This window comes from Homo sapiens, chromosome 22, assembly GCF_000001405.40.
Source record: "Homo sapiens chromosome 22, GRCh38.p14 Primary Assembly".
NCBI lineage: Eukaryota > Metazoa > Chordata > Mammalia > Primates > Hominidae > Homo > Homo sapiens.
In genome coordinates this window covers 22,511,523-22,526,414 of record NC_000022.11, presented here as the reverse complement: position 1 = coordinate 22,526,414, position 14,892 = coordinate 22,511,523, and the positions used below count along the sequence as shown (strand labels likewise).

Below are 14,892 nucleotides of genomic sequence, written 5' to 3'. Positions count from 1 at the left end.
GTTGCAAATAACAGAACTTCCTTTGATTTTAAGGCTGAATTTTAAGGCTGAATAGTGGTAAGGCATGGTGGCTTTTGCCTGTCATCCTAGCACTTTGGGAGGCCAAGGCGGGAGGATCACTTGAGTACAGGCATTTGTGACCAGCCTGGGCAACAAAGTGAGACCTTGTCCCTACAGAAATTTGTTTTTTAATTAGCCAGGTGTTGGTGGCATGCACTTGTGGTCCCAGTTACTTTGGAGGCTGAGGTGGGAGGATTGCTTGAATTCAGGAGTTCAAGGCGGCAGTGAGTTATGATCGTCGTGCCACTGCACTCCAGCCTGGGTGACAGAGGAAGATATTGTTTCAAAAAAAAAAAAAAGAAAGAAAGGCTGAATACCATTTTATTGTGTATACATACCACACTATCTTTATCCATTCATCATGAACACTTAGGTTGATTCCACATCTTGACTGTGGTGAATAGTCCTGCAATGTACATGAGAGTAAAGATACCTCTTTAACATATAGATTTCATTTCCTTCGGATATATACCCAGAAATGGAATTGCTGAATCATATGGTAGCTCTATTTTTAATATTTTGAGGAACCACCGTACTGCTTTCCATAATAGCTATATCATAGCCAGCGCAGGAGAGATGCGGGAGGTGCCACACACTTTAAAACAATTAGGTCTCAGGAGAACCCACTCACTATCACGAGGACAGTACCAAGAGGATGGTACTAAACCATTCATGAGAAATCCACCTCCATGATCCAATCACCTCTCACCAGACTTCATGTCCAACATCAGGGGTTACATTTTGACACGAGATCTGGTTGATTACAACATCCAAACTGTATCAGGGGGCATGTCAAAAAAGACATGGAGAGCAAGACTGCCAAAAGCAGAGAGCAGAAACACATTTCCACCTTCGGGCACCTTCTGATGCTCTTGGATTCCATTTGGGCAGAGTAAGTACTAGCTCTCTGCAGACCCTGGACTAAGGCCTGTGGCTGCAATGAAAAGAACCTTAGGAGGAAACTCAGGAATAAAAACAGAGAAAGTGAGACTTGAGACTGAAATTATGAAACCAAGGAACTAGAAAACCCTGAGAACAGTTGATTAAAACACGGAATGACCGGGAGATCCAGAGTTTCATCAAAGAACGGGAATTACTTTCCTTTTTTTTTTGAGACAGTCTTACTCTGTTGCCGAGGCTGGAATGCAGTGGTGTGATCTCGGCAAACTGCAACCTCTGCCTCCCAGGTTCCAGGTGATCCTCCTACCTCAGCCTCCCAAGTAGCTGGGACTATAGGCACCCACCACCACGCTCAGCTAATTTTTCTATTTTTTTGTAGAGACAGGGTTTCGCCATGTTGCCCAGGCTGGTCTCCAACTTCTGGCCTCCCAAAGTGCTGGGATTACAGGCATGAGCCACCATACCTGGCTAGGAATTTCTTTAATGTGAAGAGTTGAGGAAGAAGAATCATGAATAGTCTAAAGCAATCGACTAGCATCTCAAGCAGTGGGGCATAAAGAAGAGTTGGCAGCACTGTCTCCAGATGGTGATAAGTTTGCAGGACTCCTACTGGACTACTGATGAGGACAAACAGAGACCAAGGAACCAACCCTGGCCCTGTCCTCATGGTTCTACATAGGATTCTGGGATACAGATGGAAGGACAGCGGTTTTTCAGTTTCTCCTTGTGCAAATATGGTTGTTTTTCCAACTCCCAAGTACCAGCCCCAGGTTTGCCATCCCCATTTGCTTTGAGGAACTGCTGTCACACCCCTGTCCATGATCTCCGTGAAAGATCCTCAGGTACCAAGATCGGAGTTCTGGAGCATGAACCGTCCAGGGTCAGCTCCATGCCTGTTTTCTGCTGTTCTCCCAGCAGCCCCCAGTCCCCAGCAGCAGCAGTCAACCTCTTTGGGCTCTGATTCAGATCCCTGAATTTAAAAATAACTAGAACCTAGATCCCAATACTGTCTGAAGGATAATAGAACAGCACAATTGTATGCGCTGGTGCATAACTCCTTCCTCTCTCAGACTGATGTAATGAGAATCAGGTGTGAAATAAATGAATAATCATGACTCTCTCTCTCAAAAAAGGAAAAATAAAGATATGGGGAGCATGGTAAAGGGACTCTCACTTGACATTTGAAGCATCAAAAAAATAATGACAGTATCTGTTTATAACATTTTTAAATAACATAAATCTTCCTGGTGCCACACTGATAGACAAATCAACATTCTTCTTTACAAAAGAATTAATAAATATTGAAGGAATGATAGAATTTGAAAATGGCCATTCATAAAGTAGGAGATTAGACATACTGTCACTCATACGCATCTTTGCATCCTTCACGTCTATTTTTTTTTTTGAGACACAGTCTTGCTCTGTCGCCCAGGCTGGAGTGCAGTGGCGTGATCTCGGCTCACTGCAAGCTCCGCCTCCTGGGTTTGCACCATTCTCCTGCCTCAGCCTCCCAAGTAGCTGGGACTACAGGCGCCCGCCACCACGCCCGGCTAATTTTTTTGTATTTTTAGTAGAGACGGAGTTTCACTGTGTTAGCCAGGATGCTCTTGATCTCCTAACCTCGTGATTCACCCGCCTTGGCCTGCCAAAGTGCTGGGATTAACAGGCGTGAGCCACCACGCCCAGCCTTGACCAACAATATCTTAACTGCTATGTCCCCTACCCAAATCACTGACCTCATCTTTCATCTCCGCTGGTCCTTTAACTGGAGCCACACTTGTCTCTGTGCTCTTCCTTTTTCAGGCCATGAAATGCCTGTGCCTCTGTGTCTTTCTTCTGGCTGGAAAATTCTCCTGATAGTCACCTTTCTTCTCTCCTTCTTTTCTTCCTTTGATGTAACTGTCTCACAAACAGCAATTCCAACTCTGAGTTCATCTGATTAGGCATCTCTTTGTGCATCCCCCAAATTTAACTTCTAGCACTCTGTTTCATAAACACAGCAAGGTGGCATGAGTGATGGTCTGTCCCTGACCTGCATCCATTCCCGACGCGCCATCCATTTCCTATTCTGTGCCTTAAAGCAATAAAGGATTCAAGATTTCAGCCATTTTTTCTTCTTCTTTTTTAATCTTAAGGTCTGCTTCTACCAGTCATTTGAAAAACATATTGTGACAAGCTTTAATCTCATCACTGGAATTCTTTGTTTGGAAAGTGGGGCTGGTCCGAAACAGTCCTGGAGAGTGTTTCCCAGTGGAAACTTCCCAAAGGCAGACTGATAAAGAATCAGCTATGGCTGGGCGTGGTGGCTCACGCCTTTAATCCTAGCACTTTGGGAGGCCGAGGTGGGCAGATTACCTGAGATCAGGAGTTCAAGACCAGCCTGGCCAACATGGTGAAACCCTGTCTCTACTAAAAATACAAACATTAGCCGGGCGTGTTGGCTCATGCCTGTAATCCCAGCTACTTGAGAGGCTGAGGCACGAGAATTGCTTGAGCCTGGGAGACGGAGGTTGCAGTGAGCAGAGATCACACCACTGTACTCCAGCCTGGCCAACAGAGTGAAGTCTGAAAAAAAAGAATCAGTTATGGAGGGCAGGGTGCGGGTAGTTCACGCCTGTAATCCCAGAACTTTGGGAGGCCGAGGTGGGAAGTTTGCTTGAGCTCAGGAGCTTGAGACCAGTTCAGGCAACATAGTGAGACCTCATCTCTACTCAAAAATAAAAGTAAATCAGTTAGACATGGTGGCATCTGCCTATTGTCCTGGCTACTTGGGAGGCTGAGGTGGGAGGATCGCTCGGGTCCAGGACATCAAGACTGCATGATCGTTCCACTGCACTCCAGCCTGGGCAACAGAGTGTGAGACCATGTCTCAAAAAACAAATAAATAAATAAATAAAATTTTTTAAAAAAATCAATGATGAGGATGTTTCACCACATTCTGTGACCTTTGGATGCATTACAGTTAGTTTTCTGCAGAAAAGGAGGATACATTTTATAAGGAAACATAAATGTTTCATAGGAAAGGCATGTATCCTGATGCAAATTTATATTCAGACCATGTGATTTTATTTTTACTAGATTAGTGGGTTAGAATAGCTTGGTTAGAACAGCTAGATGTGGTCTTATTTGGGACTTTTAAAACTGAGCAAAAGAAAATAAGATGCAACTCCGAGCTATTTCTAGACACTCCTCTCAATTTTCTCACCTCCCACAAGCATTGTTGCCACAACCTTCTGTCTCAGGGGAAGGGCCTGCTTTATACCTGAGCCAGCCCCTGACCACTGCCTAGGCTTCCTGGAATCTTCCTAGCAGGATTCTGCTTCTGGAAAAGAGGAAGGAGTGAATATCAGTTCTGCAGAATACACATTTCCTTTCCTTTCTTTCCTTCCTTTTTTTCTCTTTCTTTCCTTCTTTCTTTCTCTGTCTTCCTTTCTTTTTTCTTTTTTTATTTTTTTGAGACAGGGTTTCACTCTGTCACCCAGGCTAATTTTTTGTATTTTCTTGTGGAGACACGGTTTTGCCAGGTTGCCCAGGCTAGTCTCAAACTCCTGGGCTCAAGCCACCTGCCTGCCTCTGCCTAAGCGCTGGGATTACAGGCGTGAGCCACCACGCCCGGCCCCTGTTAGAACTTTACTGTCTAAGTCTTGCACTTCATTTCACTTTGCTTGCTTATTTATTTATGAATGAATGAATGAGACAAGGTCTCTCTCTTCCATCCAGGCTAAAGTATGTGATGCAATCATAGTTCACTGCAACCTCGATCTCCCTGGTTCAAGCAATCCTCCCACCTCAGCCTCCCGGGTAGCTGGGACTACAGGCACGTGCTACAATGCCTGGCTAATTAAAAAAAATTTTTTTTCTTTTGTAGAAACAGAGGTCTTGATATTTTGCTGAGGTTTGTCTGGATTTCCTGGGCTCAAAGATCTTTCACCTCAGCCTTTGATAGCTGGGACTACAGGTGTACCTCAGTAGCGGGCCTCATTTCACCTTCCTTTCCAGGGTCATGCTCTTGGCTACTTGCAATGCCCTCAAGCAGCCTTTCCCCAGTCCCTAGACAAGAATAAAGACCATGGGTCACACACTTTTATACCACCTTGGGCTCTGCCTACTGGGTTCAAGTGATTATTCTGCCTCAGCCTCCCGAGTACCTGGGATTACAGGCACGCACGGCCACGCCCAGGAAATTTTTGTATTTTACTTTATAAAGAATAAGAGACAGGTTTTCACCATGTTGGCCAGGCTGGTCTCAAACTACTGGGCTCATGTGATCTGCTGCCTCGGCCTTCAAAAGTGCTGGGATTACAGATGTGAGTCACCACATCCGGCCCAGAAAGGTATTTTTAAAGTTTTATCAGGAGATGGTACTTTAGAACATTTTAATTTGCAAATGATTTTCGTTTTAATTTTGAGACTTGATTGCATTGCGTTGGAATGGGGGTGGAAATATAAATATTTCTTACCTGTCAAGGGACTCTTGAGGCTCCCCCTCCCCCGCTTTCTAATCTGTGTTGCAAAGCCTGTAAAGAGAGTGAAAGGGTGGGCCTGAAATTCAGCTGAGAAGGTTCCAGGGAGGGGGTAGTGAAGGAGGAGGGAGGAGGGAGAGACAGAGGGAAGGAAGTGAGAGGGCATGGGAGGGAACCAGGATAGACCTTTGACCCCTGGAAATGGATTAAGAAGGGAGTGGGCTGCTGCTTGGAGAAAGCTGTTGAAGACTCACAGTGAGGACCCTGTTTGGACACCTGGAAACTCCTACGGGAGCTCGGTCTTCAAGGGCTGTGAGATTGAGACCCACCCTGTCCCCTGGGGCTCCTACTGGAAAGACATCTGCTTTTCAACTCGCTCACCTCTGAGCTTTGTTGGAACAGACATGTGGACTGCCTCCCACTCCGCATCCCTTCTCATCCCCAATAGCTGAGGGCCCAGGCACACTGCAGAGAAAGTGGTAGACTCTGAACAAGAGAGAGAGGAGGGAGGATGCCCATCACCAGCTCAATCAACCTGGAAGGCAGCCCTGAAGCCCCACCCTCATTCTTTCCTTTGAGTAGCAATTGGAGGAAAACTTTTGGCAATCAAGCTGGACAACAACTGAAAATCCAATCAGGATAAACTGCTTCAGACACGTGACTGGAAAAATGATTGGGCTATAAGGGGCTTAAAAGGAGTGGGACCTTCTGATCTGGCCTCAGAAAGGACTTTGAAGAGCAAGCGGCGTTGTTCGCCTGCGGAAGCAGTGCTGCCGGTCTCTGGACAAATTTCTCCGGGAGGTGGAGACAAGGAAGCTCCAGCTTCGCTTTCCCTTGCGGCCCAGAGTGGAACATACTGAGCTGCACTGAATCATCTGGATGCACTCGCAACTTTAGGAACTGGTGAGCTGAGAAATTTGCTATCTTTCATTTTGCTCCTCTAAAACTAGAGCTGGCAAACTTGTTCTGTGAAAGACTAGATGGCAAATATTTTAGGCATTGCAATTCTCTGCTTCAACTACAGTAGTCTTCCCTTATCCAGGGTATTCCTTTCTGTGCTTTCAGTTACCTGAGGTTCCAAAATATTAATTGGAAAATTCCAGAAATAGGCAATACATAAATTTTAAGTCGCCAGCCCTTCTGAGTAGTGTGATAAGCTCTTGAGTCAGCCCTGCCCTGGGATGGTAATCCTCCCTTTGTCCTGAGTCCCCATGCTGTTGGCTGGCTGCGCTCTCTGTACCTTAGTCACTTAGGAGCGGTCGCAGTTATCAGAGTGACTGTCCTGGTGGTATCTCAGTGCTTGTGTTCAATTAACCCTTATGGTACTTAATAATGGCCCCAAAGTACAAGGGTAGCAATGCTGGCGATTCAAATATGCCAAAAAGAAGCTGTAAAGTGCTTGCTTCCTTTAAGTGAAAATGGGAAAGTTTTTAACATAATAAGGAAAGAAAACAAAATCGTATGCTAAGGTTGCCAAGATCTACAGTACATAAAGATATTTTGTCAGCGAGAGATTGCATTCACATACCTTTAATTTAATTTATTAATTTATTTTTTTGAAACGGAGTTTCACTCTGGCCGCCCAGGCTGGAGTGCCACGGTGCGATCTCGGCTCACTGCAACCCACGCCTCCCGGGTTCAAGTGATTCTCCTGCCTCAGCCTCCCAAGTAGCTGAGATTACAGGTGCTCGCCACTCTGCCCAGATAATTTTTGTATTTTTAGTAGAGATGGGTTTCACCATGTTGGCCAGGCTGGTCTCAAACTCCTGACCTCAGGTGATCCACCCACCTCAGCCTCCCAAAGTGCTGAGGTTACAGGCATGAGCCACCACGCCCTATCTCACATATCTTTTATTACAGTATATTGTTATAATTATTTTGTTATGCTTAACCTCTTACTGTGCCTATTTATAAATTAAGCTTGATCATAGGTATGTACATATATGAAAAAATATAGTATATATTGAATTTGGTTCCATCTGCAGTTTCAAGCATCCACTTCGGGGGTCTTGGAACATATGCCCCAAAGATAAGGGGGTACTACTGTACTCAACTGTGTCATAGAAGTGTGAAAGCAGCCATGGACAACAGCACTAAAAAAATGATTATGGCTGTGTTCCACAACACTTTATGGTGAACACTGACATTTTGAATGTTATATAATTTTCACATCACAAAATATTCCTTTTTTCTTTTTTTTTTTTTTGAGACAGTCTCACTCTGTCACCCAGGCTGGAGCACAGTGGTGCGATCTTCGCTCACTGCAACCTCCACCTCCCAGGTTCAAGAGATTCTCCTGCCTCAGCCTCCCGAGTAGCTGGGACTACAGGCATCTGCTACCATGCCTGGCTAATTTTTGTATTTTTAGTAGAGAAGGGGTTTCACCATGTTGGCCAGGCTGGTCTCGAACTCCTGAGCTCAAGTGATCTGCCCACCTCGGCCTCCCAAAAGTGCTGGGATTACAGGCGTGAGCCACCGCGCCCCGCTTCCTTTTGCATGTTTATTCCCCCAAATTTAAAAATGTACAAGTTTAAAAAAATCTTAATAAAAAAAAAGTAAGAAAACAATACCTTAAAAATGTAAGAAACATTCTTGGCTTCCTGACTGTACAAAAACAGGGGAAGGGCCAATTTTCCAATTTCTGTCTTAAACCATTGTTTGCCAAAATGTAGCTGATATCCATTAGAGAACTACAAAACAAGTTTAGTGTGCTGTCAGCTTACAAAAAGAAATAGGATTTTTCACTGACTATAAGATGCCATCAATTGGCCGGGCACAGTGGCTCATGCCTGTAATCCCAGCACTTTGGGAGGCCGAGGCGGGCGGATCACGAGGTCAGGAGATCGAGACCATCCTGGCTAACACGGTGAAACCCCGTCTCTACTAAAAATACAAAAAATTAGCCGGGCGAGGTGGCGGGCGCCTGTAGTCCCAGCTACGCGGGAGACTGAGGCAGGAGAATGGCGTGAACCCCGCGGGGCGGAGCCTGCAGTGAGCCGAGATCGCACCACTGCACTCCAGCCTGGGCGACAGAGCGAGACTCCATCTCAAAAAAAAAAAAAAAAAGATGCCATCAATTATAAAAGATACATTACTCTCCTTTTTTTTTTTTTTTACATCAGATGTTAAACATGCTGATATAACAAGGTTTGAGGGAAGCACATCTCACATGAGTGAAAACCCAAGCATCACGCTTATCCTCACAAAAGGATCTGAGATATGTCATTTTTGATTCCACTATGAAATAAAAATATATACTGCAAAAACAAATTATGAAATGTATTTTATATTGATGAGATGCTATGATGAGATGCAATCTGATTTAGAGATGTTAAAATGGAAATCTAAGCCTATACCTTAGAATCAATAAAATATGGCATAGAAGGTATCAGAGCCTATCCCTTGTGGTAAGGTGAAGGTATTAGAGTATTTGACAAAACTTTTGTTTCAATTTACACACACATACACACAGGTTTACCTTCTCCCTTGTACAACAGTATTAAATCATTTGGATTTGGATTTCATTAAATGCTTAGAGAATCTGGAATAATGGATTAGAGCCTCTGGTACACCTAAATGATCATATTAATAACAGCTACTATTTATTTAACAAAGATTTAGCATGCACAGTATGACAGACATTGCTCTATAAGCTGAGGAGTAAATGAAACACAACTCCCTGCCCTCGTGTGGCATACAGTTTAGTGGGTAAACACAGAAAAGAAACAAGTTATATTTTTAAATTTTTTGTAGAGATGGGTCTTGCTATGTTGCCCAGGCTGGTCTCGAGCTCCTGACCTCAAGCAATCCTTCCGCCTTGGCCTTACAAAGTGTTGGGATTACAGGTACGAGCCACTGCACCTGTCCCATTTTTTGTTGTTGTTTTAAGACACAGAGTCTTCCTTTCCTCTGTCACCCAGGCTGGATGCAGTGACATGATATATCTCACTGTAATCTCAAACTCCTGGGCTTGCAAGATATATTTTACATATTGTGTGGTAGGCAGTGATAAATGCTAAGTTGAAAAATAACATTGAGGGTTTGAACATATGAGTTAAGGAGGTTGTGATTTTTGATATTGTGGTCAGGTAAGCCTTGCTGAAGAGGAACCATGGGACTGAGGCAGACCAGGAGCCCAGATGGGGTTAATCTGGGGAAAGAGGCACGCAACGTCCGGGAACAACAAAAGTTCTGAAAAAGAAAAAGGCCTGCTGTGTTCCAGATTCACGGAGCTCAGGATGGCTGCATCAGAGCAACAGAGGAGTTAGCAAGGGCGATGATGACCTAAGGTTCCATGGGGAAATTTAAAGTTTGCTGGTATTTCCTATGAATGAAATGGAAAGTCATTGAAGACTTAAGAGCGAAATATACTTGCTCCCCTGTATATTTTAACAGGGGCATTGGGGCCACCATGGGGAGATCTGACAAAACTTTTAAGACTGGCAACTTCTGCAGTGATCCAGGGAGAGAACATGGTACCTTCCATCAGGGAGGTGGCAGTAGATGTGGAAGAGAGTAGTCAGATTCTGGATATCTTTAAAAGATAGAGCAGACTAGCTTTGCTAATTGATTGGCTGTAGTGTATGAGAGAAAGTCTGGCAAAGGATGACTCTGAAGTTTGTAGACTGAGCAACTGAGTTTACTGAGAAAAGGAACATTACAGGAACAGCAAAGGGTGTGTGTGTGTGTGTGTGCTGTGATTTGTGTGTGTGTGTGTTTGTGTGATGGGGTCTCATTTGGTTGCCCAGGCTGGAGTGCAGTGGCATGAACATAGCTTTGAAGTCCTGGGCTCAAGTGTTCCTCTTGGCTCAGCCTCCCAAGTAGCTGGGACCACAGGTGTGTACCACCATGCCAAGCTAATTTTTTTTAATTTTTAAATTTTTTTGTAGAGATGGGGTCTTGCTATGTTGCCCAGGCTAGGAGCAGAATGTTTTTGAGAGAAGTTTTGTTCAAGTTGGTTAGAAACCTTAGACATCTGAGAGAGTACCTGTGGGATGAGGAGGAGGTGAGTGAGGCATCTAGAGTGCAAAATTTAGAGGCAAGCACTCTGAGATGTTCCATCTGCACCTCCTGAAATCTTGCTTCCTTTGCCTCACAACTGCAGAAGACCAGGGGAGGAGAGACAGGTAAATTTGAAATTATTATGCCATTTAAAATGTTTCAAGCCTCATTTCTGACGTGTAAAATAGAGATGTTGATGGTTATCTCAGTGTTTTAAGGGAGGATACAATAAAGTAATGATTTTGTCTTTCGAAATAAATATTGACTATTGTCACATGGTTGCACTTAGGTGGCAATTTGTAAAAAGACAGCTCTGGAAGTTGAAGAGACCAGTGGCTTCAAGCAAAAAGTAAATTGAAAATGGGAGATATCTTTTTGTGTAAGAAAGTGGAATCACCAAAGAAGAATTTGAGAGAATCCAAACAAAGGGAGGAGGATGATGAAGATCCAGATCTGATCTATGTTGGGGTGGAGCATGTACATAGAGATGCTGAAGTTCTCTTTGTCGGGATGATTTCAAATTCAAAACCAGTCGTTTCAAACATTTTGAACAGAGTCACCCCAGGCTCAAATTCAAGAAGAAAGAAAGGCCACTTCCGTCAATATCCTGCTCACGTGTCGCAGCCTGCAAATCATGTGACCTCTATGGCAAAAGCCATCATGCCGGTTTCTCTGTCTGAGGGGCGATCGACAGATAGTCCTGTCACTATGAAGTCTTCATCTGAACCTGGTTATAAAATGAGCTCACCACAAGTTGTTTCTCCCAGTTCCTCAGACTCGCTCCCCCCAGGGACTCAGTGTCTAGTTGGAGCTATGGTCTCTGGAGGAGGCAGAAATGAGAGTTCTCCTGATTCAAAGCGACTTTCCACTTCAGATATAAACAGCAGAGATTCCAAAAGGGTTAAACTCAGGGATGGAATCCCAGGGGTACCTTCTTTAGCTGTGGTCCCTTCAGATATGTCTTCTACAATAAGCACAAATACACCCTCACAGGGGATCTGCAACTCATCAAACCATGTTCAGAATGGAGTAACATTTCCTTGGCCTGATGCTAATGGAAAGGCACATTTCAATCTTACAGATCCAGAGAGAGCAAGTGAGTCTGCCCTGGCAATGACAGACATTTCAAGTCTAGCAAGTCAAAACAAGACCTTTGATCCCAAGAAAGAAAATCCCATCGTGTTACTTAGCGACTTTTACTATGGACAGCATAAAGGAGATGGGCAGCCGGAACAGAAGACTCACACCACCTTTAAATGCCTCAGCTGCGTGAAAGTTCTAAAAAATATTAAGTTTATGAATCACATGAAGCATCATTTGGAATTTGAGAAGCAGAGGAACGACAGCTGGGAAGACCACACCACCTGCCAGCACTGCCACCGGCAGTTTCCCACTCCCTTCCAGCTACAGTGTCACATTGATAGTGTACACATCGCCATGGGGCCCTCTGCTGTCTGTAAAATCTGTGAATTGTCATTTGAAACAGATCAGGTCCTCTTACAACACATGAAGGACCATCATAAGCCTGGCGAAATGCCTTATGTGTGCCAGGTTTGCCATTACAGATCGTCGGTCTTTGCTGATGTGGAAACACATTTTAGAACGTGCCATGAAAACACAAAGAATTTGCTTTGTCTGTTTTGTCTCAAACTTTTCAAAACTGCAATACCATACATGAATCATTGTTGGAGGCACAGCAGAAGGAGGGTCCTTCAGTGTTCCAAGTGCCGGCTACAGTTTTTGACGTTGAAGGAGGAAATAGAGCACAAAACCAAGGACCATCAAACATTTAAAAAGCCGGAGCAACTGCAAGGGTTGCCTAGTGAAACAAAAGTTATTATTCAAACTTCAGTTCAGCCAGGATCAAGTGGTATGGCTTCCGTTATTGTTAGCAACACTGACCCTCAGTCTTCTCCTGTAAAAACTAAAAAGAAGACGGCTATGAACACTAGAGATTCCAGACTCCCTTGCAGCAAGGATTCTAGCTGAAAATATGTTCGACTGACTTCCAGGAGTTCCGAAAGGCAGAAGTGAGGCTAGGCCATATGTGCATTGTGGCTGTAGATGCTAGCAAGCAATGTCATCAACTGTCAGGTTGTTTTTTACAGTGACATCTCATCAGCTCCCTATTGTCAAGAAGTAGCTCCAAAGTCTTTGAGCCCTTTCCCAGTCAAATGCTCCCAACAGGGCATCCCTTATTCTGACCTCAGAGGTTTTTCTTGTTCATGAACTTTAAATAAATGGAATCACACAAAGATTCTTGTCTTTGGCTTTTTAAAATAAGTGAGATGGCTGGGTGTGATGGCTCATGCCTGTAATCCCAGCACTTTGGGAGACTGAGGTGGGTGGATCACTTGGGGTCAGAAGTTTGAGACCAGGCTGGCCAACATAGTGAAACCCCTTCTCTGCATAAAATAGAAAAATTAGCCAAGCGTGGTGGTGGGCGCCTGTAGTCCCAGCTACTCGGGAGGCTGAGGCAGGAGAATCGCTTGAACCTGGGAGGGGGGAGTTTGCACTGAGCTGAGATCGCGCCACTGCCCTCCAGCCTGGGTGACAGAGCATGACTGTCTCAAAATAAAGTAAAATGAAATAAAATAAGTGAGATGCATTTTTGCTGTGTGTAGCAGTAGCACATTCTTTTTCATTGCTGGGTAGAATTTTGTTGAGTGACTGTGGCAGTTTTGTATAAATTTATTTCACTGTTGATGGACTTTGAGGCTGATTCTTTGGCAATTTTGAATAAAGCTGCTATGAGCTTGTGCGTGTCTTTTGGTAAGCATGTAATCATTTCTCGTGGGTATATATAGCTATGAGAAGTGCTGGAACTGCATATATTTAGCTGTCTAGTGTAGATACTGCCAAATACATTTCCAGAGTGATTGAAACGATTTACATTCCCACCACCGATACTGCGAATTCCATTGCTACTGATCCAGCACTTGGTACTGTCAGTCCTTTTAGTAAGTGCCCTTCTCTTGAAATTGTAGTGGTACCTTATTGTGGCTTTAATTTGCACTTCCCTGATGATTAATGGACCTTGAGATTATATAGTTATCGGCCACGTGAGTATTTCTTTTTATTAAATGTCTATTCAAGTTTTGCCCCCTCCTACCTTTTTAAAAACTGGGCTGTCGACTGGGAAGGGTGCTGGGGCACTGGAAATGTCCCATATTTGGATCTAAATCGTGGTTTTATGGTTTATCTTTCATGAGTCTTATTTAAGAAATTGTCTACAAACGACATAAAGATATTCCTTCTATGTTCTAGAAGCTTTACTGTTTTGATGAGACATCTCAAACTGATTTTTTGTTAATGGTGTGATAAGGCATGAAGACTAATTTTTTCATATACATACCCAAAATCAATCAGCACCACTTACTAAAAAGACCACTCCTTCCCTACTGTATTGCCGTGGAAACTGTGAATCAGGTATGATTGTATATATGTGTTTCTGGAATCTATTTCATTTCATTTGTCCTGTTCTCTATCCTTGTGCTAATGCTGCAGTATCTTAATTATTGTAGCTTTGCATAATCCTCCGTGTGGTAGTTTCATTTCTCCAACTTTGGTGTTCAAAATTGCCTTGGCTATTCCAAATGCTTTGCGAATTGAAGTGGCTTTCATGGGTGTGCTTTTCTTGGTCTCAAACTCAGGTAGAATAGTTTACTTTAATTGTGATGTTAGCTGTGGGGCTCTTTGTAGTTACCCACTGAGTACACGGGAATCAACTTACAAATCAGTAACAGAAAGATCACTGAAAAAAAACCCAAAGTTCCTAAATTAGGCAATACATTTCTAAACAGGGCTGGGACTAGGGTGAGGCAAGCAGGGAACCTAAGGTGACAATATGCCATACCTGAAGCTGGGCGTGGGTCTCTCCTTAATGTGCCTCAGCCTCCTTGCTTATCTCACCCCAGTCCTGGTCCTCATTCTGAATAACCCATAGCTCCTCTAAGAAATTGCAGTGAAAAAAGGAAAATGTTGAACTGAAAGATATTGAAAACAGCCACAAAATTTATGGGATGGAACTAAAGCATTTCATGGGAATTTATATTTCTAAATGCATATATTTGGGAAGAAGAAAGGTTGACTAATGATCTAAGTCAGTGCTGTCCGTAGATCTTTCTGCAATGATGAAAATGCTCTACTTCTGCTCTGTCCAATATGCTACAGGTGACTATTGATCTGTTGAAATGTGGCAAGTATGACTGAGGTACTAAATTTTTTATTTTATTTTTGATTAATTTAAAACTAAAAAGCTATTTTTGATTAATTTAAAACTAAAGGAAGAAGAGACAAATCTTCCTTAAAGAAGAATTGCAAAGTAACTTGTGTAGATAATTTTCCTTCAATGAGACCTCACGGCCTTCCTGCATGTAGGCAAGATTTAGAATAAGGTATGAAAGGGGGGGGAAGTAATTTACAGCGGAGAAGCCAGTAGGAAGTCTTATTGATAGCATGGATCGCT

At 43.6% G+C, this 14,892-nt stretch overlaps 1 protein-coding gene, 1 pseudogene and 1 further gene across 1 annotated transcript, besides 1 other annotated feature; 1 reads left to right on the top strand and 2 right to left on the bottom strand.

Annotated features, from left to right (window-relative positions):
• The window catches only part of IGL (immunoglobulin lambda locus), an 896,838-nt gene that overhangs the window by 396,499 nt on the left and 485,447 nt on the right, over nt 1-14,892 (bottom strand).
• Nucleotides 5,300-6,505: an enhancer, noted in NCBI's record as "BRD4-independent group 4 enhancer chr22:22874253-22875452 (GRCh37/hg19 assembly coordinates)". NCBI's record gives its function as "activates an origin of replication core promoter dependent on BRD2, P300/CBP, MED14 and CDK7 cofactors, and independent of BRD4, by STARR-seq in HCT116 cells {active_cell/tissue: HCT116}" and the evidence as "EXISTENCE:reporter gene assay evidence [ECO:0000049][PMID:35650434]".
• ZNF280A (zinc finger protein 280A) lies at nt 6,145-12,679 on the top strand. Its single transcript, NM_080740.5, has 2 exons — nt 6,145-6,326; nt 10,714-12,679. Exon 2 carries the CDS (start codon nt 10,785-10,787, stop codon nt 12,411-12,413), a length of 1,629 nt encoding a protein of 542 aa, NP_542778.2. The 5' UTR covers nt 6,145-6,326; nt 10,714-10,784; the 3' UTR covers nt 12,414-12,679.
• On the bottom strand, nt 8,540-8,635 carry LOC124905161 (uncharacterized; annotated as a pseudogene).

Bases quoted from the DNA above. Each gene is read 5' to 3' on its own strand.
- ZNF280A (NM_080740.5), top strand. From the start codon at position 10,785: ATGGGAGATATCTTTTTGTGTAAGAAAGTGGAATCACCAAAGAAGAAT.